Source organism: Homo sapiens, chromosome 17 (assembly GCF_000001405.40).
Source record: "Homo sapiens chromosome 17, GRCh38.p14 Primary Assembly".
NCBI classification, from domain to species: domain Eukaryota; kingdom Metazoa; phylum Chordata; class Mammalia; order Primates; family Hominidae; genus Homo; species Homo sapiens.
This window is the reverse complement of record NC_000017.11, coordinates 9,800,509-9,828,016: the sequence shown is the minus strand read 5'-3', so window position 1 is coordinate 9,828,016 and position 27,508 is coordinate 9,800,509. Positions and strand designations below refer to the sequence as shown.

At 46.5% G+C, this 27,508-nt stretch overlaps 2 protein-coding genes and 1 long non-coding RNA gene across 7 annotated transcripts in view; 1 reads left to right on the top strand and 2 right to left on the bottom strand.

The window, feature by feature from the left end:
* GLP2R (glucagon like peptide 2 receptor) overlaps positions 1-2,093 on the bottom strand; it is a 66,176-nt gene extending 64,083 nt beyond the window's left edge. For all 5 annotated transcript variants that reach the window (XM_011524077.4, XM_017025339.2, NM_004246.3 and 2 more), the window contains exon 1: positions 1,765-2,093. In XM_011524077.4, the coding sequence (XP_011522379.1) occupies positions 1,765-1,953 (189 nt within the window). In that variant the 5' untranslated portion in view covers positions 1,954-2,093. The remainder of the gene's footprint in view (positions 1-1,764) is intronic.
* Positions 2,094-5,937: 3,844 nt separating this feature from the next.
* On the top strand, positions 5,938-27,409 carry GSG1L2 (GSG1 like 2). Its single transcript, NM_001310219.2, has 5 exons — positions 5,938-6,255; positions 17,399-17,446; positions 19,035-19,187; positions 20,416-20,527; positions 25,373-27,409. Exons 1-5 carry the CDS (start codon positions 5,946-5,948, stop codon positions 25,629-25,631), a joined length of 882 nt encoding a protein of 293 aa, NP_001297148.1. The 5' UTR covers positions 5,938-5,945; the 3' UTR covers positions 25,632-27,409.
* On the bottom strand, positions 16,968-20,556 carry LOC124903925 (uncharacterized). Its single transcript, XR_007065616.1, has 2 exons — positions 20,106-20,556; positions 16,968-19,216 (listed from the first exon to the last, which is right to left on the bottom strand). It is a non-coding gene; the product is annotated as an uncharacterized LOC124903925 (long non-coding RNA).
* Positions 27,410-27,508: the final 99 nt, after the last annotated feature.

The following is a 27,508-nucleotide window of genomic DNA, read 5'->3' as shown; positions in this document are numbered from 1 at the left end:
CCTGCCCATGGAACGAAGGAGGAAGACAGCCATTCCTTTTTTTTTTTTTTTTTTTTGAGACAGATCCTCACTCTACTGCCCAGACTGGAGTGCAATGGCGTGATCTTGGCTCACTGCAACCTCCACCTCCAGGTTCAAGCAATTCTCCTGCCTCAGCCTCCTGAGCAACTGGCATTACAGGCACACACCACCATGCCCAGATAATTTTTGTATTTTTTAGTACAGACGGGGTTTCACCACGTTGGCCAGGCCGGACTTGAACTCCTGACCTTGTGATCTGCCCACCTCAGCCTCCCAAAGTGTTGGGGTTACAGGCGTGAGCTACCGTGCCCAGTCTGAGCCATTCCTTAAGCTACTTTCGTTATTCAGACAAGTGGAACTGGGGTTCCTTCCCATCATCCTTTTATACTGCCCATAGCCCAGTATCCAAATGGAAACTTGGAAAGAGGACGAAGGTCTAATCTTCTTGGATAGAATAAAGCAAGCTACCAGCATGCCCAACGATAGAGGATAGTTAAAGACATTACAATAAACCCTTAAAGCCCTTAAATATTATACCATGGATCTACATTTACTAACATGGACGAATGTTGCTCAACTTCTCCGAGACTCAGTTTACTCATCTGTAAAAGGGGATTAACAAGAGAACCTCAGTCTATAGGGTTGCTGAGAACACAGAAGGAGAAAATATGAGGAACGGGGGCACCTGGCACTCAACCCAGTGCAGAGCAAGTGCTCCATAGTGATGTCAGCTGTGTTATTAGTGTATTTTGTTATGAAGAAAGCAGATTACAAAATAATATTTATAGTATGTGCCTGTGTTTGTTTAAAAAAAAAAACTGTATGTAGGCCTGGTACAGTGGCTCATGCCTATAATCTCAGCACTTTGGGAGGCCGAGGCGGGTAGATCACTTGAGGTCAGGAGTTCAAGACCAGCCTGGCCAACATGGTGAAACCCCATCTCTACTAAAATACAAAAATTAGCCGGGTGGTGGCACGTACCTGTAATCCCAGCTACTCAGGAGGCTGAGGCAGGAAAATCACTTGAACCCGGGAGGCAGAGGTTGCAGTGAGCCAAGATCTCACCACTGCACTTCAGCCTGGGCGACAGAGCGAGACCCCATCTCAAAAAACAAACAAACAAACAAACAAAAAACTGTATGCAAACAATGGTAGAAAAATGTCTGGAAGTATAAGCCCCCAAATGTGAATGAGGATGATCTGCAGCTGTTGGAAGTAGAGTGATTTGTAGTTTGCATTTCACTTCTTTGAATTGTATTTTAAAAAAACAATTAGCGTTCAACATTTTTGTAATGAAAGGAAAAAGGAAACAGAAGGGAAAGGAAAGGAAAGGAAAAAGAAAAATGGATTTGCTCAACCTAAATACTCAAAGCTGGGAGAATACTGAAGACAAACAGAAGGATATGTGCAGCAATTGTAAATGCTATTTGCAGAACTCACATTGACGTGGGGAAATGCTTATAATATGATGCGGGGCTGGTTGGGGGGACCAGGACACAACATGTTTTATGCTTCCTAATATCAGCTGTTGTAAAAAAAAACAAATGCATAGAGAAAAGGTTTGAGGACAATATGCCAAAATATGAACAGTGATTACCTTTGAATGCTAGGATTATGGCGGCTCATTATTTTCTTAATACTGTTTTCTCTTTTCCAAATTGCTTACATGAGGCCTAAATTGCTTCTTTAAAAAAAAATCAGGAAATACAACTGATAATAATAATAATAATGAACTGCTCTTACTTGCTTGATGGAAACCAGCAGGACCAGAGTGAGGAAGGGCCTCCCAGGGGCCCAGAGAGAGCACTTCCTGTGGAAGGAGAGAGGACTGGTCCCCCAGGGGGCAGGGATGCCCATGGGCAGCTCGTGGACGCCAGGCAGGAGTCCCGCGCTTCCTCTCCCAGGCCCTGCCCTGCTCGATCCCAGCTTCATCTTCCTCGTGCACCTTCACAAGTAGGGGTACATCTCTCTAGCCGTCCAAGATGCACCGCAGGCAGCCTCCTCTTGCATTCCTCTTGGTCCACAGAGGAAATGTTTGCACAAATCCTCTCCACGCTGCGCCGAGAGTGTCTGAGGCGGTCTAGAGCAATCTACGGAGTCTTCAGAGTTCCTTCTCGGCCCTGGCTCATCCCCCGCCCCTGCCCCCCCAAAAGCAGGGAGATTTTTCCCAGACCTTCCCTAAGTCAGCTGTGCTTTCTGGGACTTCCTTGACAGGCTGAGGAGAAAGAACAAGGCGGTCAGCGGGCTCCACCCTGAAGGTTCTGCTCAATGCACGAAGCTGGCTGAGACAGGCTGGGGTTCGAGCTACAGAGGAATGGCTGGCAGAAGGCGATGGGGCTCGAGCCAGTTTAGAGGCAGGTGTCTTTTTGAGGCAGGGTATTTCTTTCTAAGGCATTAAGCTTGTCCAGGCTGGGCTGAGGCTAACCACAAAGGCAAAATCTCCTCTGGGTCCTGTTTATGCAGAGACTGCAGGAGAGGTGGTTGCTCAGCTCAGGAGAGAACAGCTCCCAGCCCAGGCCATGAAGCAAAAACCCAATCAGCGGCGTAGGTTATGCCTACACAATAGCAAAACAGTGTGTTGAAAAGTGCAACATTCACTCATCTTGAATGCCCACTTGTTCTAAGCACATGTGGCTCAGCCCACCTGACAGACCCTTTTATGGAATTGATGATACATCACTTACTAACCAGCACAGGAGTAGGCTGTCCCCACAACTCACATTGACAACGTCTTTTAACCCACCATCCTATTTCGCACATCCTGACAATAACCCCATGAGGATACGATGAATTCTCCATTTGACAGCTGAGAAACATTGAGGCTCAGAGAGGTTGGATGGCTTGCCCAAAGCCACACAGCAAGTAAACAGCAGAACCGGATAGGCAGGTCTTCTGACCAGAGTTGCTTGAGCACAGGTACTTGGGAGGGTGCCCTGTCCTGCCCCTGCCCTCTCCGGTGAGTTCTTAGCAGGCTCATCGCCATGCCTCCCAAAGGCTCTGCTTGGAACTTCTTACTCCACCTCTCCCAGGCCAGCTCCCAGCGTCCCTGCAATGTCTCCCAGCCTCCCAAATTGGAGGCCCAGGTGGAAGATGTCTTGATTGGTTGGAACAGTGAGTCAGCAAGAGGCAAGAAGAACATGTTTTCACTTCGTTTTTGGTTTTGTTTTTGTGTTATTTTTTCCTTCCCTCTTCAAGTCAAACATAGGAACTCATCCTGGGTAACTTTTCAACTGAATGAATTCTGAACAGTTGGGAAAAGCAGCCATGCTTTTCTTAATAGACATCCCTAAAAATCTTAAAAACTCCATGTGACAAGATTTTAGACCTTAACAATGAAAAGCTCAACTAGAACAAAGACCCTAGAAATGGACTCAGAGTGGTGTCACCTCTGGAATTGACGTGGTCATCTCTCTGGGATGGCAGAGAGCAGGATGGAGTGACCCAGAGGGAGAAAGTACCCAAGGGATGGACTTTGGTCATTGAATGTGGCTGCAACTCCGTTCTGTGAGTGCTCATTAAAGATCATCTTCCAAGTTGCATGCTGGAAAATGGTCTGTCTTTAAAGAAAATACCTGCTTTGCAAGAATATTCCATCTCATCTCTTGCAACTTTTTCTCAAAAACATCCTTTATTTCTGAAGGGATGAAAGTTGGGGGCCACACACGACTTCCCCACCCATTGGCTGGTTGCCCTCTAGCGATGGAACTTAGTAAGGCCTCTTCCCTTGAGACTGGACACCCCACCAGGCCAGTGAGAGCACAGGACACAGGTGCCCAGACTCGGCCAGCGGCAAAGTATAGATGGAGTGATATTAACCCAGTATCACTGTCTAGCCCAGGCACATAGATTCCAGATTCTGTCTGGGGGGTATTCAGGAGGTGTCTAACACATCATCAAGAGCCTGTGTGTTTTCAGGATGCTCTGCAGAATCTTCTGCCCTCACACCTTCATCAGTGTCCTCTGCCCGAGGAGTTCCTTAAAAATCTTCAGCATCACTGCTCCTGCCAGTGCCCCGTTCAGTGAGGGCCTGAGCGATGGTGCCCAGGGTTCTGTCTTCTAGCATCTGCGGGCCCCTGGCCTCAGAACCCTGCAGCCAAGTGGGATACATGCTGCCCTCCCCATTCTGCACAGCACCTTGGCCCTGAGGTAGCCTGCCTGTACCTCGCATCACCCAGCATCCCTGGAACAAGCATCTGTTTTCCGTAGTCCTTCTCTACATAGAGCTGGACAAGAAACAGGCCTATGAAGTCCTTGGGATTCCCTGATTCCGGAATCCAACACTAAGGACCTGCTCCATGCAAAAGGCAATGGTGAGGCTGTCTCACCAAGACAGCCACCCAAACAGCCCCTGGTCTTCCATCAAAACCAGCACCCTCCACAACAGCCAAAAGGTGGAAAAAACCCAGGTGTCTGAATAGATGAACAAAATGCTATCCAACAAACACAGGGAATATTATTCTGCCTTGAAAAAGGAAGGACATTCTGACACATGCTACAACATGCATGAAGCTTGAGGACATTATGCTAAGCGAAGTAAGCAAGTCACAAAGGGACGGATACTGTATGAGTGCACTTACAGGAGGCACCTAGAGTAGTCAAATTCATAGAAACAGAGAGAAGAATGGTGGCTGCCAAGCAGAGGAGGAAGGGCAATGGGAGTTGTGTGATGGGTACAGATGATGAAAGATGAAAAGAGTTCTGGAGGTGGATGGTGGTGATGGTTGCACAACACTGTGAGCGTAGTTAATGCCACTAAACTTTGCACTTAAAAATGGTTGAGATGCCAGCCTGACCAACATGGTGAAACCCCGCCTCTACTAAAAATACAAAAATTAGCCGGGTGTGGTGACGTGCGCTTGTAATCCCAGCTACTCTAGAGGGTGAGGCAGGAGAATCACTTGAACCCGGGAGGCGGAGGTTGCAGTGAGCCAAGATTATGCCACTGCACCCCAGCCTGGGCGACAGAGTGAGACTCCATATCAAAAAAAAAAAAAAAAAAAAAAAAGATTGAGATGGCCAAGTGTGGTGGCTCATGCCGGTAATCCCACACTCTGGGAGGCCGAGGCAGGTGGATCACCTGGGGTCAGGAGTTTGAGAACAGCCTGGCCAACATGGTGAAACCCCGTCTCTACTAAAAATACAAAACTTAGCCGGGCATGGTGGCGGGCACCTGTAATCCCAACTACTTGGGAGGCTGAGGTAGGAGAATCACTTGAACCCAGGAAGTGGAGGTTGCAGTGAGCCAAGACGGTGCCACTGCACTCCAGCCTGGGTGACAGAGTGAAACTCTGTCTCAAAAAAAGAAAAAAAAAAGGTTGAGATGGTTAATTTCATGTTATGTGTGTTTTACCACAATTTAAAAACAATGCCCTCTGGCTGGGCACGGTGGCTCACGCCTGTAATCCCAGCACTTTGGGAGGCCGAGACAGGTGGATCACGAGGTCAGGAGATCGAGACCATCCTGGGCATCATGGTGAAACCTCCTCTCCACTAAAATACAAAAAATTATCCCAGCATGGTGGCATGCACCTGTGGTCCCAGCTACTTAGGAGGCTGAGGCAGTGGAATCACTTGAACCCGGGAGGCAGAGGTTGAGGTGAGCCAAGATCATGCCACTGCACTCCAGCTTGGGCAACAAGAGAGAAACTCCATCTCAAAAAAACAAACAAACAAACAAACAAAAAAAAACAATGCCCTCCCGCACACCTACCTCCTGGGGAGAATGGCAGGGCCAGCACCCTTGACAGGAACGTGCCCCGGCTCTGTGCCTCTGGATCTGGTGTGGCAGCACGTGCAATTCTCCAGGGGGACGTGAGAGGAGGCTGTGTGAGGATGCCAGATGGCAGAGCTGAGGGGCAGGTACCGTGACGAGGCAGGAGGAGGGGGCCCCACAGCTCATCCTGCCCCACGCACCTCACTCAGCCATGGACAGGGCCAAGCAGCAGCAGGCGCTGCTCCTCCTCCCTGTCTGCCTCGCCCTCACCTTCTCCCTCACCGCCGTGGTCAGCAGCCACTGGTGTGAGGGGACCCGACGGGTGGTGAAGCCACTGTGCCAGGACCAGCCGGGAGGGCAGCACTGCATTCACTTCAAACGGGACAACAGCAGCAATGGCAGGATGGACAACAATAGCCAGGCTGTCCTGTACATTTGGGAGCTGGGTGATGACAAGTTCATTCAGCGGGGGTTCCATGTGGGGCTCTGGCAGTCCTGCGAGGAGAGCCTCAACGGTGAAGGTGAGCAAAGCCTGTAGATTCTGGGGAAGACAGGTGCGGGATGGGGCAGGGGCTCTGGAGCCAGGCTGTCTGGGTTTGAATCCTGCAGATTCTGGGGGTAACAGGTGCGGGATGATGCAGGGGCTCTGGAGCCAGGCTGTCTGGGTTTGAATCCTTCATCTCCACTGATTGTCTAGGTATCCTTGAATAAGTCCCTTCACCTCTCTGAGCCTCAGTTTTCTCATCTGTAAAATGGGAATGATAGCAGTACTTACCTCCAAGAGTGATTGTAAAGATGAAATGACCAGATTCACATACAGAGCTTGCAACAGGGCCTGACACATTGCAAGTGTTTATTAAAATTAGTTTCTCGTTTGTTCTTGTCACTGAATCCCTGGTATTTAAAATCCTTTGGGAATGAAAGGTGGTCCCGACCCAACTCGAAGGTGCATCCCTGTTATTTATCCTGCACTTGGAATGATCTTGGAGTGAATCTTTAAAAACAGAAGTGTTTTTACCTCTCAAAGAATTGAGGAGGGAGGAATTTGACTCTTCCATATTTGGCAGCCTGGCTGTAAGCCCGCGTTCAGGGACAGAGTACTCTTCCCTTTCTGCTTGGGACGCAAAACCTCCAAGGCAGAAAAAGGAGGAATCCTCCCATCCCCATTTCTTTCCTGACCTCAGCTTATTACAGTCAATTTCTTGCACAGTTTTTTAACTTTTTCTGGAGTTTCTAATTGCCTTTTCTTTTTCCATTCTCATAGCATTTGATTTTTGTTCCTGAGGCCTAAGTAAAAGGCAACAAGAATGAAGCCCCTGAGGCCCAGCCTGGTGGCTCATTCCTATAATCCTAGCACTTTGGGAAGCTGAGACAGGAGAATCACTTGAGACCAGGAGTTACAGACCAGCCTGGCAACATAGGCAACATAGTGAGACCTCTCTTTACAAAAGGTTTTTTTAAAAAATTAGCTGGACATGGTGGGGTGTGCCTGTGGTCCCAGCTACTCTGGGAGGATCACTTGAGCCTGGGAGGTTGAGGCTGCAGTGAGTCATCATCGTGTGACTGCCCTCCAGCCTGAATGATAGAGCGAGACCTGTCTCAAATTAAAAAAAAAAAAAAAGGAACACTCAGAGGTGCTGTATGTCCCTCCCTTCCACCCTCTCTCCCAGTGGTGGCCAATGTGGGGCAGTACCCAGCCTGACTGAACCTCCCATGTATCCAGGCCAGTGCCTGTGTCTTGTGCTTTAAGTGTGGTACAGACACTGCAATAGTGCCTGGAGCTAAGGCTATTTAGGACCTCCACAGTTCCTCGCTTCTCAGGGAGTGCTATCTTCCTATGAGTCTCTTCCCCACCTTCATGGACAGAGGCAAAAGTCTCAGGACCCTGCATCCTGGAGGATTTCCAAAACACTTCCAGAATTTTGGTTTGGAAACTGTATTCACCATACTTATAGGCAAATCACTTGGGAAATTCCATCTCCTTTCCAAGTTCTCATATGAGGACTGCCTATAGTACTTCTGTTTCCACAGCTCTATATAGGCGTCACACCAGTTATCAAATGTATCACCCAAGGAACTTGTAAAAGAAATATCCAGGTGCCCAGTCCTGGAGGTTCTAATTTAAGAGAGCCGGGGTGGAGTCTAGAGGTCTGTATTCTTATTTTATTTTATTTTATTTTATTTTTTATTTTGAGATGGAATTTCCCTCTCGTTGCCCAGGCTGGATTGCAACGGCGCAATCTCAGCTCACTGCAACTTCCACCTCCTGGGTTTTAAGTGATTATCCTGCCTCAGCTTCCCCAGAAGCTGGGATTACAGGCATGAGCCACTGTGCCTGGCCAAAATTTTTTTTTAAAGAAAAAGAATACAGGCCAGGCGTGGTGGCTCACACCTGTAATCCCAGCATTTTGGAAGGCTGAGGCGGGCAGATCACCTGAGGTCAGGAGTTGGTGAAATACCATCTCTACTAAAAATACAAAAAAATAGCTGGGCGTGGTGATGTGTGCCTGTAATCCCAGCTACTAGGGAGGCTGAGGCAGGAGAATCGCCTGATCCCAGGAGGCAGAGGTTGCAGTGAGCCGAGATGGTACCATTGCACTCCAGCCTGGGCAACAAGAGCAAAACTCTGTCTCAAAAAACAAGCAAACAAAAAAAAGTTTTAACCAAGGTGATATTTACTCATAGACAAGAGATGAACTCATTTTGAAAAGCTACTATGAAAAATCAACACTCCCTTGCCCCTTTCTTCTCCATAACTTAGTCCCACACTTCAGGAGAAACCACAGTTAACTTAAGTGTTTCTTCTAGTATTTTCTTCCGTGTTTTCAAAAACTATGGTTACATAGCCATGGCTTCATCTTAGACATTACCTATTAACTTCCTGTTATAATAAATAGGATTTAACTCTCTCATACCACAACATCCCACATACCCTCTGTCATCTTCCTAATAAAGTTATATCGCTGCTTTGTTGAAATCAGTAAGCCAATAATATATTTTGACTCTATCAATATTGTTCATTATAGCATCAAAGTAGGTGCTGTGGTGATGTTTATTGCTGTGTTCAGCTTTTTGCTTTTTCTGGAGTTGCCCATTGCCTCTTCGTTTCTGATCCTTATGGCACTGGTGTTTTATTCCACTCAATCCTATTTTATCTGGTGTTACTCATGTTTCTAATAAGCCCCCCTGGTGATTATGACAGACGCTAGAGTCTGAGGAGCCCACCTCAGTGTACATCAAAGACCTCTGGAAAGAAGGGAGTCAGCACAGTGCAGAGTGAATTCACTGACAGTCATTTCCTTGTCAGGCACAGGGCCAGGAGGATGGGAGGAGAGAAAGGTGAGTAAGCCCCAGTGCTGAGAGCAAGGATCCAGTGGAAGAGACCCACCTAAGGTACAAACGAACAAGGACAAATATGATAATGGTTATAACAAGGATGCACCTATGATGTGGAAATGGAAACGGGGGTGATAGAGTTTGGATAAAAAGTCATCCGCCTTTGTTAGAGGTGGAGGCTGGTGGGAGGTGATTGGATTGTGGAGGTGGATTTACCACGAATAGTTTAGCCCTGTTCTTTTGGTGCTGTCCTTGCAATAGTGAATGATTTCTCACGGGATCTGGTCGTTGGAAAGGGCGTGGTGGCTCACACCTGTAATCCCAGCACTTTGGGAGGCCAAGGTGGGTGGATTGCCTGAGGTCAGGAGTTCGAGACCAGCCTGGCCAACCCAGTGAAACCCTGTCTCTACTAAAATACAAAAAAAAAAAAAAAAAAAAAAAAAAATTTAGCTGTGTGTGGTGGTGTGCACCTGTAATCCCAGCTACTTGGAAGGCTGAGGCAGGAGAATCGCTAGAACCCAGGAGGCGGAGGTTGCAGTGAGCCGAGATCGCACCATTACACTCCAGCTTGGGCAACAAGAGCGAAACTCCATCTCAAAAACAAAACAAAACAAAACTAAAACTAAAACAAGAAAAGTGTGTGCCACCTTCCCCCTTCTCTCTCTTGCTCCCACTCCCACTGTGTGATTGGCAGATTCCCCCTCTGCCCTCTGCTATGATTGGAAGTTTCCCCAGGCCTCACCAGAAGCTGAGCAGATGCCAGTGCTATGCTTCCCGAACAGCCAGCAGAACCGTGAGCCAATTAAAAGTTTTTTCTTTATAAACTACCCAGCCTCAGGTATTCCTTTATAGCAATGCAAGAACTGAGTTACACAGAAGGAGAGGTTATTTATAGCTCTAGGCATAGGGAGGACCTCATAAAGGAGGTGGCCACTGTGCCAGGCCCATAAGGCTATGATTTTAATAGATGGAGATTGGGGATGAGAACGTTCCAGGCAGGCAGAACTGAGTGAGCCAATGTCTGAGGCAGCATAACCCAGGTATTTGCATCAGAATGCAAGGCAGGGGAGAGAAGGAATCCTTAAGTTCTTACAGAAGAACTTGGCTCACATGGCTTTTCCATGTCACCTGAGACAGCTTCTCCTTCCCTGCAACATAAGGTCTCTGTCACCCAAGCAGGAGGAACTGAGCAGACATTTCCTAAACAGAAAAGGCCTCATTGGGCCAGGTATGGTGGCTCACATCTGTAATCTCAGCACTTTGTGAGGCTAAGGAGGGCAGATCACTTGAGGTCGGGAGTTCAAGACCGGCCTGGCCAACATGGTGAAACCCCATGTCTACTAAAAATACAAAAATTAGCCGGGTGTGGTGGTGGGTGCCTGTAATTCCAGCTACTCAGGAGGCTGAGGCAGCAGAATCGCTTGAACCTGGGAGGCGGGGGTTGCAGTGATCCAAGATCGCACCACTGTACTCCAGCCTGGGCGACAGAGTGAGACTTCGAGGAAAAAAAAAAAAAAAAGCCTCGTTGGAGAGAACTGGAAGCTTGCTAGTCATGATGTCAGGAGGAGCTAGGGCCAGAGTAGAACCTGAACTTGAAGACAGAGTTGGAAAATTAGACCAATGGGAGGGAGCTGCTTCATCAGTAACCAGGCAGCTGGCAGGAAAAATCCGCATGGGCTGGGCTTGAGGAAAGTGTGGAACTGGATATTCCGGCAGGGGTGGGAGCAGCTGCAACCTGGCTACCTGCATATGGCATGAGCCGTAGTCACACAAACACTACACAGGTAGATGGTAAAAATGTCCCCAAGATTTCTGATAAAAAATTGTCACTCAGTTCGCGTGTGTATGTGTGTGTGTAACTCAGCGTGTGTGTGGTGGTGGTGGTGGCATCTTCTCAGCCTAAAACGAGCTGAAAGCGGGAGTGAGAGATGTGTGAGGCTCTTTCAGGTTCCTTCCTCTAGAGGAAGTCCCCTTGGCACTTCTGCAAACCCACAGAGTGTTTACTACACACACACACACACACACACACACACACAGATACACACACACAGATACACACACACAGATACACACACAGACACACACATACAGATACACAGAAACACACACAGATACACAGACACACACAGATACAACAGACACACATACACAGATACGCACACACAGACACACACGCACACACAGACACAGATACACACACAGATACACACATGCACACACAGACACAGATACACACAGACACGCATGCACACATACACAGACACACACACACAGACACACACGCACACACAGACACACACAGACACGCACACAGACATGCAAAACAGACACACAGACACACACAGACACACAGACACGCACGTGCACACACAGACACAGATATGCATGCACACACAGACACACGCACGTGCACACAGAGACACAGACACGCACACACAGACAGGCACACACAGACACATGCACACACACAGACACGCACACGGACGCACACACAGACACACGCACACAGAGAGACACACGCACACACACAGACACACACACACACACACAGACACAGACACACACGCACACACACAGACACACGCATACGCGTGCACGTGCACATTTTTCTGGATCACACCACGGAAGGGTTTTTCCCATACTGTCAGGAGCACACACTGAATATAAAGAGAGTTAGTGTTCTCCATGATTCATGGACAACAGCAAGGAGAAATAAAGGATGTATTTCTTGACTTCTGTCGTTGTCCATTCTCTGTTGCTTAAAACAGAATACCAGAAACTAGGTAATTTATAAAGAAAAGAACCGTATTACTTACCATTACGGAGGCTGGGAAATCCACGGTCGAGGGAGCACATCTGGTGAGAGGCTTCTTGCTGGGGAGGACTCTTCACAGAGCCCCAGGGAGGTGCAGGGCAGCCCATGGCTGAGGGTGCTGAGCGTGCTAACATTCTAGCTCGGCCCTGTCCTCCTCTTCCTACAAAACCACTAGTCCAACTCCCCACGAGAACCCATTAATTCATGAATGGATTAATCCATTCACGAGAGCACAGCCTTCATGACTCGAGCATCTCTTAAAGCTCCCACCTCTCAATTCTGCCTCACTAGGGATTAAATTTCAACATGAGTTTGGGAGGGGACATTCAAACCATAGCAACCTCTGTCTGACTTCTATGCAACTATATTCTTGTATCAGGACAGAAAGAGCTCTTAATAAGTACCTCACTGGATGTCCTCAAATATTACTCCTCAGAGATGCCTTTTGAGATGCTCTTTGTAAAAGTAAAGAAAAAGTATCTTGAAGTCCAACAAACTGGAAAAGATTCCGTAATATGTTACATTTTCTTCTTAAAAATTCACAACGCACATTAGCACATCAAAATCTCTGAGAAGTCCCCCGATACAGGAATTTGTTTAACATTACATATTCCAGTGTTTCCCCCAAATTTATGGAGCATAGAAGAGATTTTTTTAATAAGGATTAATATTCTATAAGACTATTGTTTGGTGGAACGTGCTTTGGGAAAGGCTGACCTAGAACAATAGAGACATTTTACAGACGAGAAGACTGAGTTCCAGAGATGTAAGTGACCCATACCCATGGAATCTTGCCTCACTGCAACCCCTGCCTCCGGGGTTCAAGCGATTCTCCTGCCTCAGCCTCCTGAGTAGTTGGGATTACAGGCGCATGCCACCACACCCAGCTATTTTTTTCTGTATTTTTAGTAGAGACAGGGTCTCACCATGTTGGCCAAGTATGGTCTCCATCTCCTGACTTCGTGATCCGCCCGCCTCGGCCTCCCAAAATGCTGGGATTACAGGCGTGAGCCACCGCACCCAGCCACCTGAAGTGCTATTTTAAGACATCCTCTGCCCAAGCCACCTCCAAGAACTCTACCCTTTCTCCCCAGTGCCTAGGATGTCTTTAAAGGGAACCCACATCTTTGATCCCACAATCTGAAATGACAGTTCCTGGCCCAGGCAGCACTTACGCGAAATGTTCTTTTCCTTAGGTGAGTTTGTGAATCCACAAAATGTGTGGATTTTAGATTCTATGCTGTTCTGCTAAACTCAAAAAGTTCAGGACAGAGGGACACAGGCACCCCATAAAGGATAGGGGCGGAGTGGGGGCCGGCGGAGAACAAAATGACAGAGGATGTCAGAGTCAGGTACGGAGGGATCGGACGCCACTTCCTCGGGCTGGCTTGCTGTCCTGCTTGGCTGCTGAAGCACACACGCTATGTAACACCCGCCTCCCTGGCTTCATGGGATTTATAAAGATTTTTTCTTTTAATCCTTCTGGCTTTATTCAAAACGAACACCATTTCTAAGGATTCATATTCATCAAAGGGGTCACTAGGCTCTGACTCTGGGCCCAAGCTGAACTCACCCGTCTAAGCTATTCTGAATTCTCTTAATCTCCTTGGCTGGCCTCCACCTTCTCTTTGCCCAGCCCTGGCTCTGTGCTGGCCTCGTCTCTATTCCTGGTGGGAAAGGCAGTTCTCTTTAGAAGACAAGTTAGACCTTCACTTCTCCGTGCATTAGGTAGAAAGACAAGAAGCGATTCAGAAAAGGCCTCTGAGTCTTAGGTGAGAAACTCTGGTTTTTAATTCTTGACTCTACCAATTCATATGAGCCTGGTCTCCTCCAGGTCCATAAAATTGAGATCATTGTACTTGTCTTTATTAATAACTCAACACTCAAAACAGTGGAAAGGCCAGGCGCGGTGTCTCACGCTTGTAATCCCAGCACTTCGGGAGGCCGAGGCGGACGGATCACGAGGTCAGGAGTTTGAGATCAGCCTGGCCAACATGGTGAAACCCTGTCTCTACTAAAAATACAAAAAATTAGCTGGGCATAGTGGCGGGTGCCTGTAATCCCAGCTACTTGGGAGGCTGAGGCAGGAGAATCGCTTGAACCCGGGAGGCAGAGGTTGCAGTGAGCCAAGATCATGCCATTGCACACCAGCCCTGGCGACAGAGCGAGCCTCCGTCAAAAAAAACAGAAAAAACTGTGGAATGCAGTTCACAAAATACTTTCACAACTTTCTCACTGGAGACCTTTCATTAGACCCATTTTGCAGATGAGGAAAGTGAGGCTCAGAGAGGCCAGGAAACTTGCGATGGTGACTGACCGTGGCAGAAACAGGCAGAGATGCCAGGCGTTGTGGATGTAAATGCCACACATTGCCCATGGTATCCATCTGCTGCCAACATGCTGGCCTGACTCGCCAGGGTATGGTTGGGATCGGATGAGGCGACGTGAGAGAAGGCTCTGCATCAGCCCCCGAGTTCTCCGAGAGAGAGCAGGGTGTGAGGACTGAGGTGTTTCCAGTGCTTTGGGGACATCCTTGGGAGAACCGGCGAGGCTCAGATGAATTGTTTCCTCTGTGACCGTGATACTGCTGCTGACATCAGGAGAAGTGTCCAATCACATTAATCCAAAGTGACTTAATTGAAATGCTGCAGAGGCCGCTGTGGCTGCCCATGGACTGACAGGTCCCTGATCCTGTTGCCCTCAGCCCCAGGCTGTGTAAATATTCTCCTTCGGGCCCTCTGAGATGGACAGTCATGTGACGCACGAATCCCTGGCTGCGCATTCGAGTCAGAAAACATCCCAGTGGAGAAGCTCCAGGAAATGGTTACATCATCACCCCAACCTGAGTTTCTCTTCTCCCTATAGCTCAGCAGAGGGGTGATGCAGAAGTGTGAAGGAATGAGGCCTACGGGCACTTGGAAATTCACGAGCATGGGCATGGCAAATCTTAAGGTTTATAAGGATTAGACATGCACTGCCAGAAGCGTATGCTTGCACACATATCATCCTTCCCATGTGCTGTGACTGGATATTTGTGTCCCCTCCCCAGGTTCATATGCTGAAACCCTAACCCCAATGTAATGGTATTAGGAGGTGGGGGCCTTTGCGTGGTGATTAGGTCATGAGGGTGGAGCCCTCACGTATGGAATTAGTGCCTTTATAAGAAGAGGCTAGAGAGCAAGCCAGATCTCTTTCTGCCGTGCGAGGTTACTACAAAAAGCTGTCTGCTGGCCAGGTATGGTGGCCCATGCCTGTTATCCTAACACTTTGGGAGGCTGAGGTGGGCAGATTGCTTGAGCCCAGGAGTTATAGTGAGACTCCACCTCCACCAAAAAATAAAAAAGTTAGCCAGGTGTGGTGGCGTGCGCCTCTAGTCCCAGCTACTTGGGAAGTTGAGATGGGAGGATCACTTGAGCCCAGGAGATTTTGGCTGCAGTGAGCCATGATCCACTGCACTCCAGCCTGGGTGACAGAGCAAGACCCTGTCTCAAAAAATAAAAAAAATGAAAGAAGCTCTCTGCACCTGGAAGAGGGCCCTCACCAGAACCCCACCATGCAGGCATCTCAGACTTCCAGTCTCCAGATCTGAAAAGCTGTTCCTGTTGTTGATAAACCACCCCATCTATGGTAATTTGTTACAGGACTAAGATAGTATGGGACCCTGGGGAGGTGGAAGGTGAATGCTGGGTGGTGCTGGGGAGGCAAAAAGATGGGCTGTGTGTTGGGAAGTCAGGGTGATGGAGAGAGGACATAAAAGCTAACAGGAGGAATTTAGACTTGATGCTAGGGGAAATAGGGAGCCATAGAGAGTTCTTGAATAGGAAAATTAAATTACTTGGGGTTTTCTCTCCTATAAAAGAAAAAAAAATTCTTGAAGTCTACAGATGCTCCCTAAACTCCCTCTGTTCCTGGAATCTTCCAGCAATGGTAGCTGGCATGAACCTTGCCCTTGGGGTTGCTTAGAGTCTGGAAATAAATAATAGTTCATGCTAACCACTGCAAAAATGCTCTAATAGAACTCATTATAGTCTAATAAGATTTAAATGCGTATGAACTGTGATAGAAGTTTCGTAAGTATTGTTTCATGTAATCTTCAAAGCAAGGCTAAGGTGGGGACTATTGGATAAGTGATAAGTGATAAGTGATAAGTGACTATTGGTTGGTGATAAGAATGCCATTCCTTTGAAGAGTCAATGGGAAAAAAACATGCTCTGCTTCAGCTCCCACCAGGATCAGACTGGGGGCGGCTCCCTTGTCTCAGGCATCTTTGCACCCCCGGCACCTTTCCTTGATTGCATTAAGTCAGTGATGTAGCGGGACAGCGCTGGGCCCGGGCTCTGCAGCCCTGAGCTCTAACACGGAAACTGCCTCTACCTACGCTGTCTTGAGCAAGTCACTTTCCCTCAGAGGCCCTTGAACGCACTCCTGTAAACTGCGTGGGGATGAACCAGATGATTTCCCAGGCTCCTCCCACTCGACAGTCTATGATTCTATTTTGGGCTGACGTGTTAGTAGAGAGAGTGCAGGACACTCAGCTGGGACAGGACCCCAGAGAGTGACTTGCCATGGTCTCAATCCTCCATCTGTCACCCCCTAAACCAGAATTTGGTTACATCTTCACACCAAGTGGATATCCATGGACTTAGAATTTTAAAGGGAACTGCATATGTAAGGCTGTGGCTCAAGATTTTTCACCTGATGTGTGCAACCTGACAGATGACACTCACATACAAAGAGTATCTATCCCCCTGGAGCACATAAATGAGTCTGGTGGCGGCTTCTGCCCAATACCTGGTACACACACAACGATTCCTTCCTTTCATAGTCAAGAAATCATGATGGAATGCAAGCGAATGCGTGACTCACCTGCTGAGTCTTAGTAACAGACATGGCTCTGAATCTGCTCTCACTCATTTAAAAATAAATTGCGAACTTTGATCATTTCCCTTCAACAAGAAGCCAATTATTTTAGATTCATACCATAATGAATGCTATTTCCAAAGCTGAGAATCCCTGGTCTAAGACTTGCAGTATTAGTCCAGATAGGATAGGTTAGGCTGCAATAACAAACAACCCCCCAAATTCCAGTGCTTTAAACCAACACATTTATTTTTAGCTCATTCTGTATAGACTTTTCAGGTTGGCAAGGGGTCTGTCCTCATTGTAGCTATTCAGGGACCCAGGCTGATGGAGACTTCCTCTTGATATGGGCCTCTGGGATTACAGAGCAAGGGAACAGGAACCAAGGGAAAAGACACTGGCTCTTAAAGCTGCTCAGATCCACCTCATTTTTGCTCCCAGTTCATTGGTCAAAGAGTGTTACGTGGCCAAGCCAGAGTCCAATAGGGTGGATTATATCAGGCTCCCACACAGAGGAGCAGCTCATGTCCCTGAGCAGTAAAGCAGTCTGCACACTCCCCATTCCTCATCCAGTTAAGGGGCTAGAAATTCACCATTTGCCCCCTGGTTGTGAAGTGTAACCCACTTCTGGATGCATTCTCTTTATCTTTCAGATGAAAAGTGTAGGAGTTTCCGGAGTGTAGTGCCAGCTGAAGAACAAGGTAAATACCTTACTCACACTCTGCCCACTAGCACTCCTCATAGCTTGGACTATTTTTATAGTTTTATTGGGAATAGGGGAAATGATGAGGGAGTCATTGATGATTTTTCCATGAAGTCCAGCCCAAAAGCTAGAACCACAGGCTCTCTTCCTGTGCCCTATAGCCAGTGGTGTGCTGGCAAATGTTTAACAGCCAACTTTGTAGGGTGGATGGGAAGCCCTGATTGGCAGCACTGGCCGTGTTCCATGGTGTAAATATTCCCACCATAGCCAATTTCAATTGCAAGATGAATGCAGCTCTCAGTTGCAAGATGAACACAGAGCTCTGAGATAAGCTTCAGCACACCACTGCCTAGAGCAGTTTTTTCTTCTCTCTAAAGCTCCCTAACACTCAGTATCTTTGTAATTACTTTCTTAGTGTCTGTTCTCCCAGCTGGAGTAGAGGTTTTGTGAAGGCATGGATCACGTCTATTCATTGCTGTGTCTCCGTTACCTAACTTGCCTTAGAGGAGTCCTTTCGCAAAGATGAATTTCCTTTTCTGTCCCTTTTCTCCATTGCTCTCCACTGGCAACAGAGTTCCTTGAAGCCACAGGTGGGATCCTCTCCAGGAAGTAAACAAGTGGCTTCCACAGAAACAAATGAGGTTTTGGTACCTGCAGACAGGACTCTCCAACTCACAGACCCTCCACCCCCATGTTTGTGTAACTTTTTCTTGCAAAAGGCAAAGATGATATCTTCTGGTAAAATCAAAACATCATGGTGAGAGGTGAGGCTAGCCAGACTTCCTGGGTCAAGTGGGGAGTTGGGGAACTTTTCTGTCTTACAAGAGGTTTGTAAAACGCACCAATCAGGAACTTTTCTGTCTTAAAGAGGTTTGTAAAACATACCAATCAGCACTCTGTAAAGCGCACCAATCAGCGCTCTGTAAAACGCACCAATCAGCACTCTGTAAAATGCACCAATCAGCAGAATTCTAAAAGTAGCCAATAGCGGGGAGGACTGGAAAAAGGGCACTCTGATAGGACAGAAACAGAACATGGGAGGGGCCAATAAGGGGATAAAAGCTGGCCACCCCAGCCCGCCACAGCCACCCTCTCAGGTACCCTTCTATGGTTTGGAGTGTTCGTCCTTTCACTCTTCACAATAAACCTTGCTACCGCTCACTCTTTGGGTCTGTGCCACCTTTAAGAGCTGTAACACTCACTGCGAAGGTCTGTGGCTTCGTTCTTGAAGTCAGCCAGACCATGAACCCACCGGCAGGAACCAACTCCAGACACAATGGTAGTTTTTGAGCTAGGGCATGGAGACCCCCAGCACCACTCATATCCTCACAGCAGGGTTTTGCTTAGTTTCCCCGCCCCCACCCCACCGCCCGTTCAGCTACGGGCAATCCCTACAACCGTCTCTTTCAGCCCTGAGGAGTGCCTTTCCATTGCCAGCTAAGATTCAGCAGAGGCATCTGTGATTTTCACTCCAGCGTGTCTGTTTTTCATGTTTTGTTTAGAAGTGAACTAAATCAAAGGATTGAACATTTTAGTATTTCTGAATTAGAAGTGTCCAGCGTTTCCAACATCCCGTTCTTTGGCAGGTGTTTTGTGGCTGTCCATCGGGGGCGAGGTCCTGGATATCGTTCTGATACTGACAAGCGCCATCCTCCTGGGCTCCAGAGTGAGTTGTCGCAGCCCTGGGTTCCACTGGCTCAGGGTGGATGCCTTGGTAGCCATCTTCATGGTGCTGGCAGGTACTTTCCAACAGCATCCTTGGAACAGGCTGCCCCAGAGGGAAAGCAGAGTGTCAGACTGGACATGCTCATTACCAAAGAACAGGCTGGCTCTTTCCCATCAATGGCCATTTAAGCAGGGCGGGTGGTCCCCTGGATAAGTCACCAATGAATTCCATTGGCTGGAGACAATATTTTTAGGGTGACAGATGAAAAGGGGCTAGGCACAGATAGAAAGTGAAATTTATCCGTTTGTCACAACCAGGGAAGAGGGTGCCCTGGCTCTGACAGCTGACATCACTTCACTGAAAGCAGTACTTAGGCATGAGTCTGTGGAGGGATCCTGCTCAGTTGCAGACGTCTCCTTAATGGGTGTATGACCTCAGGCAAGTTACTTCTCTAAGACAGAACACTATAATGTATCTCAAGACACTTTGGCGATGACTAAATAAGAGTGCACCTAGTATAGAAGAAGTAATACATGGTAGTTTTAAAAAAAGTATCAACATTTGGTACAAATATTCCATAAAAATAAAGAACTCCTTTTTTTTAGATCTACTTCTGTGTTCTCCAAGCAACTTTTAAAGCCACTTAATCGGGTCTCCTAAGTGGGCCTTTCCAGGGAGAAAGAACCCTGAACAAATGACTTCCTTTAGTCCTCAAACTGGATATGAAAAGTTACTCATGTTAAGTTCATCATGTAGCAGGCCAATTTGTACATCATTGTTGTGCTTGATAAGTGTAATGCATCTTTCCTAAGTCCTTTTTTTAAAGTCCCTTTTAATTATTTTATTTTACTTATTTTGGGACTTATTTATTTATTTGGAACCTCTCAATCAGAGGTCCCCCCAGAGTGGTCTCAAACCCCTGAGCTTAAGCAATCCTCCCTCCTCAGCCTCCCGAGTACCTGGGATTACAGGTGCATGCCACCATGCCTACCTCCCTCAAGTCTTATCCTCAGCGAATGGGATGATAAAATCCAATTTCTGATCTTCTTAGGAAGGAACCAGGCCATGGAGACTCCTACCCAGGTTCTGACAGGTCCTCCCCGATTGTGTCTTTCCGGATGTCTCTTCAGTTTCAATTGTGGGAAAGAGATGTCCAGCGGAATGTTTAAGGATGAATACATGCAGATACATCAAAAGGACTTTATGAATGCTAGAGAGCTCCTTACAGCCAACTCACACCGCGTAGAGTTCTTCCATCATGTGTCTTCTTAGCTGTGACTCACAGAGCTTTCCTTGCGCAGGGCTTCTAGGCATGGTGGCCCACATGATGTACACAACCATTTTTCAAATCACTGTGAACCTTGGACCAGAAGATTGGAAGCCTCAGACCTGGGACTATGGCTGGTCATATTGGTAAGTTGCTTGGTCATGGTGCTGAAGTCCTGGAGGATCAGGAGAGATGCACATAAACATACACATGTTTTGTAGGATGACCAACCTTGGTCATAGTGCTGGCATCTGCCAGTATTGTGACTTTGGGTTAATTCTGTGACCCATCTGTAGCCCAATTCCCTCATCGATAAAGTGAGGATACCTGCCTCAAATGTTTGTATAGGGATTTAAAGAGATTATGTTTATAAAACTCTTTGCACATAGTAAAGTCCCCGAGAAATTGAGACGTTGTTGATGATCAGTTCTTAAATACAGTGTGGGAGGAAGTGTCTTGATCTATAACTCCTAATAAATAACTTCAACTGGGGGAGACCCAGCCCCTGTTTCTAATGCAAAGACAAGGTCACGACATGGGAATTCTGTCTCTAACTGACTCGACCATATTATCCAAGACCACAGGGGTTGTCTTTGATGTGGACCTCTGAAGCATATCGTATCTTAAAAATAGATGTACATAACTTACATTTTCATCTTATATAACAACCTCTTATGTTACTTTCCTCTTTGTAAAACACATAACACGTTCAGGGCTCACTCCCTCACCCTACTATTCTAGGATTCAGTGAACGCATGTGTGTTACTGTGAGCCATATGCTTCGTGAGTTGTTAGAGTCTGAACTTTTCTTAGTCTTCGTCTTCCCAGTCTGAAGATGTTAATTTTTACAAATGTTTCTCTGGGCACCTGTCCCTTCACCTGTTTGTCACTTAGCTACCCCCCTTTGAATTAGTGCTATTGGTTCTGAGGGGCTATCACTGGCACCTTACACAGTTGAGAGTGTAGTTGCAGCAGGGCTCAGATGAATTGTAGGTGGGTTCTCAACCGTGGCCAATTTGTACTGCCCTCCTTTTGCTATGGATAGAAGCAAATTCCAAACACTAAAGGAGCCTGAAGAATGGTCTGTTTGTTTCCAGTATCATTTTGTTTTGTTTTTGTTTTCTATTACTTTCAATTACTTAATTTTTAGCAAAAGAAGCATATGTAAATGGTTGTTAAAAATCAAATAGTACTAAGCGTAACAATCTATCAATTCCATTCTCTCCCTGTGCCACCCTTCTGATACCCACCAAGTTCATTCTGTTTGTGCTTAGTAAACCAGTTACTGTGATGATGGGTCTTACAAAAGATTTATTCACAGGGCAGATAAAACATTTATTCACAGGGCAGCCCAATAAGGAGGTGGGAGAACAGCTCTCAAAGCCTGCCTGAAGATAAGACTTAGGGATATTTATGGGTTAGAGAAGCAGGGTGGTCTAAGGCAAGAGGAAAGGTGATTGGCAATGGGGAAAAATAAAGTCACTAGTGATCTGTGCAAGCATAGTCAGGGTTCATGGCTCTTCACAAGATGCATGTTCAGAAAATGGTAGCATTAGCATGTTCTAAGGGTAGAGTTTTTGGCTTTCTGACATCAAAAGGCCACCTCTCAGGCACTTGCACAGGATCAGCTGAAGGATCAGTGGTCTCAACCAGTTTGAACTGGATAGGAGCTGCCCCAAGTTCCTGAAAAACAAGCAGCCATTACCATGGTGACGTGTACATCAGAAATGTTCTCCGTAAGGAAGCCAGGAGTTTAGTGGCGTGGCTTTTAGCTATATGGGGACGAAAGAAAGCAAGCAACCAAAAGCAAGCAGGGCAGGTTAGGTTTGGTGGACCTAATCAGATTAGCTTCTCAGTTTTACTTCCAAACCCCCAAAGCCCTCGGTCTTCCTGCCCTGTTCCAGGCTCGTTGCAGTCTAGAGCTATCATCATGAGACTTCCCTGCGCCACTCCCTTATCTTGGAATGCTATTTCTTAGGTCCCATTGAATTATCTTCTTTAGTTTACCTTTTCTGGGAGTACATCCTTCAGCAGCTTCCTAAGAAAGGATCCAATGAGAGATAAATTATTTTACTCCTTGCATGCCTGGAAATTCAATACTCCATACTTGATCGATTGTTTGGCACAGTGCAGAATTCTCTGCCGGAAATCATTTTCCCAAAGAATTTAGATGGCCGTACTCCATTCTCTTCCAGCATTCATAGTTTCTGTCAAGAGTCCAACACGATTCTGATTCATGTGCCTTTGTAGGTGGCCTGTTATTTTCTTCTCTTTATGACCAATGTTCTGAAATGCCATGATGATGTCCTTTGGCGAGGATCCTCTTTTCTCCACATTCATCCTTCATCTATGTGCTTGGGGTGGGGGAGGGGGGAGCCTTTAATCTGAATATTCATGTCCTGGAATTATGGTGATTTTTGTATTTGTATTATTTCTTTGATTATTTCCTTTCGTCAGTTTTTTGTTCTCCTTTTAGAAAACACTTGTTAGTTAGATATTAGGTCTTTTGGGTTTATTATTCAAGGATCTTATTACTTTCTTTATATTTTGTTTCTCTTTTTATTATATTTTCTGAAAATTTTTCTCTACTTGTCTTCCAGCCTTTCTGTTGAATTCTTATTTTGGACTTATTTTAATTTTCCAAGCTCTTCCTTGTTTTCCAGCTGTTCCTTTTTCATAATATCCTGATCTTGCTTTATTGATACAGCATCTTCTTTTCTCATATTCCTCTGAGGATATTAATCGAAGGGTTTGGTTTTTGTTGCTGTTTTCTTTTGTTCCTTGTGTTATCTCTTTCCTTTAGAATTCTTTCCCCTCCCTGCTTTGTTGTTGGACCTTTCCCCCAAACGTTGGCATCTTTGATTGTCAAGGATAATTGGAAGCTCTGGAGCAGGGTTGGTATTTATCTACTGGTAGGCTCTTTTGTTGTTGTTTTGGCATGTGATTGGGTATGGCACCATCTATTTTATCTTGGAATTCCACTCCACAAAAACACACACAAATATCGGTTTGTAGAGGTTCTTTCCACAACCTGTCAGTGTCTTCAGAAGGGAATCATCCAATATCCGCAGGAAGTGGAGTAAGCTCACATGCCTGGCTGATAATTTCTGAGGTTAGGCATAGGAAAGGGCTGGACAGCTTCCCACTCCTGTGCAGATTTCCATACAATCCCATTTTCAGACCAGCCCCCTTCCCTGCCTTCCAATGGGCCTGCTGTCTCTGAATCCGGAGCCTTTCCTTCCGTTCACCTTCTCCAGAGAATAAAACTTTGCTTTTCTGGGGGAAAGGGAGGTGGGATGGAGTGTTTGTGGTAAGGAGGAGACTGGGGAAAGGGCTGCATTTTTTGTGCCGTATTTGTGCCTCAAGGTTCTGCACCTCTCAAGGATTCAGCAGTGCTGATATAACAGGCATCCTTCTTGTCTTGTGGGTGGCCCTCATTGCAGACACTTTCTGTGTCGCATCCCTCACTCCATAAATTAGTCATCCCTCTCCCAGCCGTTTCCGTACTCTCATGTCTCCTCTCCAATTCTCCTTGTCCTTGTGTGTTCACACTAGTACACATCCCTTTACTCTCGTTTCAGTGGGGGTGTGGAGAGATGCAATGAGTTTCTGCCCTCATTTAAACCAAAATAATCACCTACTTAATGAAAACACGAAGCAAGACCAGGCCCAAACCAGAACCTTGACATGTGTCCTTGGTTAACCGAGTCCACAGCATCAGGAGGCAGCAAAGTCTCGCAAGTCAGCCAGCAGTATCTGGACTCACAGGGTTTGCAGCCGCATCCAGGATGTCCCACTTTCTAAATGGTAGTCGTGGACAAGTTGCTTAACTTCTGTGTCTCAGTTTCCTCATCTGTAAAATGGAGATAATTATAGTGCCTCCATCAGGGGGTCGCCGTGAGGTGTTCAGTTAGATAATCTGGTGCCCATCACAGCACCTGGCATACATACAAGACTGTTTATTATTGTTAATCTTATTATTATCCATTGGGAAGTGTCTCTGGTTAGCCCTACATTTTGCTTTTCTTCTCTAGGTTGTTCTTTGTCCACCACACAGCCCTTCTCTTTATCTCATAATAATGCAAACATTTGAACACCCTTTGGTATAAAGCAGATGCTAATTACCATGTTCCCAACACAGTGCTGGGTTCTTTGAAGGATGAAAAGTGTAGCCCATCATCTCAGTATGCAACAGGCTTACAGCCTGGATGGGGATATAAGAATAATGATGCTGGTCGGGCGCGGTGGCTCATGTCTGTGATCCCAGCACTGTGGGAGGCCAAGGCGGGCGGATCACCTGAGGTCGGGAGGTCAAGACCGGCCTGGCCAACATGGTGAAGCCCTGTCTCTACTAAAAATACAAAAATTAGCCGGGTGTGGTGGCGCATGCCTGTGGTCCCGGCTACTTGGGAGGCTGAGGCAGGGGAATTGCTTGAACCGGGAGGCAGAGGTTGCAGTGAGCCAAGATCATGCCATTGCACTCCAGCCTGGGCGACAGAGAGGGACTCTGTCTCAAAAAAAAAAAAAAAAAAAAAGTAATGACACCAATGCCACTGTCCTGGGTTACAGCCAACAACAGCAATAATCTGGAAACTTCTATGCAGCAGATGCTATACTAAGTATTAATACTTCCCACGCATTCACTCACTGAATTCCTCACAGCCACCCTGGTGGCAGCATTAATATTATTCCAGCTTTGCAGATGAGGGAACTGATTCAAAGAGGTAAAGCAACCAGCTCAAGGTCACATGGTTAATACAAGGTGGGGCCACGATGCAAAGCCAGCACAGTGACTCCAGAATCCATTCTCTTAACCCTTGGGCTAAACAGTACGTTGACTAGACTCTGGGATTTGTGATCCAAAATGCAGGTCCAAACTGAGTAGAACGAGGAGCTGTTGTTTTCTCCAGATTGACCCCCAGTCTGGAGAAAACAGGAAGTCCTGGAATCACAGCCCTCAGCCCTTTCCTAACGGTGCCTTCTGTTGACAGCCTTGCCTGGGGTTCTTTCGCCCTCTGCCTGGCTGTGTCGGTCTCGGCCATGAGCAGGTTCACGGCAGCCCGCCTGGAATTCACCGAGAAGCAGCAGGCACAGAACGGCAGTCGGCACTCTCAACACAGCTTCCTGGAACCCGAGGCTTCGGAGAGCATTTGGAAAACAGGAGCTGCTCCTTGCCCTGCTGAACAAGCCTTCAGGAATGTTTCTGGACACCTCCCACCAGGCGCCCCAGGCAAGGTGTCCATATGCTAGCCAGTGTCCATGGCTGCCACATCCGCACAGGCAAACAAGCCAGGCACTGACACTCACAATGTACACCCTGCCTCTGGGTTGGACTTCAGGAGATTGTTGTCCAGGGAAAGCTTCCATCCCCACCCCTCCACATCTCACCTTTTACTAAACACCTTTGGCTTTAGCCTTTGATTCCTGTTAAAATGCCAGTACCTTGAAGTGAGATAATGCTTACTGAAGATATCAACCATTGACACTCTAGTATAAAAGAGAGCTTCTTAATGACAGTGAATTTGATAAGGATACCAAAGAAACAGGGAGGATGCCAGTACTAAGGGAAGAGAAGTTGAAGAAAGAGGAAAGCAAGTCTTTTTAACTACAAGGGAGGCAAAATGTGTTGTCCGCATAGGTTTGTTGACAGAAAAATCCAGAAAATGTTTTCTCCTAATTGACACACACAATAAAGTATGTGTGGCTATGTCATACTTTCTTTTTCATTTGAATCAAGAAGACAGAAATTTCAAAATATGTTTCCTGTTATTTTTTAAAATATTTTTTCTTGGAAATTTTGTGTTTCTACTCATAGTAAAATCAGTTTGGAAGGACAGTCGAATGATAGAAATGAAAACACAGTCAAATGGAATGACATCTTATCTTAGTTTAAGTGGAACACATGTTTGAGTTGTTCTGCTTAAATTAAATCGCCAGCCACTTTTGCTTCTAAAAATAAACATTACCAAACATGCAGGTCTTGTTGGAGGCAGTGGTGGGCTGCAGGATTCCTAATACAGTCATCTGCAATATTGTATCAATTCATCCCATGTCCAGCTACCATGTTATTCAGGCCACAGGTTGTTCCACACATAATTTGATTTTTTGAAAAAAGAAAGGGGGTGGGTGTAGTGGCTCACGCCTGTAATCCCAGCACTTTGTGAGGCCGAGGTAGACAGATCACTTGAGGTCAGGAGTTCGAGACCAGCCTGGCCAACATGGTGAAACCCTGTCTCTACTAAAAAAAAAAAAACATCAAAAATAGCCAAGCATGGTGGCACATGTCTGTAATCCCAGCTACTCAGGAGGCTGAGGCAGGGAAATCGCTTGAACCTGGGAGGTGGAGGTTGCAGTGAGCAGAGATCGCGCCATTGCACTCCAGCCTGGGCAATAGAGTGAGACCCTGTCTCAAAAAAAAGAAAAAGAAAAAGAAAAGAAAGGGACTGCAAACTCTAACAACCTTCAATATGTCCTTGCTCAGATCCATTTTAAAAATTATATTCACGTGTTTTGTAAACATATCATTTCTGGGAAAAAAATCCAATAAAAATCTGTTTATGCTGAACTGTAACACTTATACTGTCATAAAAAAAATGAAAAAAAAAATCCAGCTACCTTCGTGTTTGTGGCTCAAGGTGAGCACCTGCCTGACAAATGCTGCTTCTGTGGAATTTTGTGTTTCATTGCGCTAAGCATATATGAGAGATAGACAATGGATTCTTGCTGGAATAAGCCCAACCCAGAGAATGTCTGCTGGGGTTCCCTGGGCCATGTGCTCACCTAGAGCAGGAGAGTTTGTACCCACAAGCCTCTGCCCTTTGCAGTGTGCAGGTTCTTTCATATGGTTTTTCATCCCTATGTATTCATGTAGGCAGGTCCTGTGTGACTGTCACGATATCAGGTCAAAGTCTCATCTTACAGGGAATGAAATACACTGGAGAGAGACTTCGCTGAATTCGCTGTTGTGAAAAACACCTGTGAACACTGTGGCTGAGGATGCCAAAGAAGAAATAAACTTTTAAAAACTATTTGGACAAGTTTTTATTTTTATTTATTTATTTTCTTTATCAATTTTTATTTTAGGTTCAGAGTGGGGGTACATGTGCAGGTTTGTTACATGGGTAAAG

Excerpts from the sequence above, each read along its gene's own strand:
- GSG1L2 (NM_001310219.2), top strand. The coding sequence starts at position 5,946 with ATGGACAGGGCCAAGCAGCAGCAGGCGCTGCTCCTCCTCCCTGTCTGC. Across the intron at positions 6,256-17,398 it reads GGAGAGCCTCAACGGTGAAG|ATGAAAAGTGTAGGAGTTTC; the intron begins GTGAGCAAAGCC and ends TTTATCTTTCAG. Across the intron at positions 19,188-20,415 it reads CATCTTCATGGTGCTGGCAG|GGCTTCTAGGCATGGTGGCC; the intron begins GTACTTTCCAAC and ends TTCCTTGCGCAG.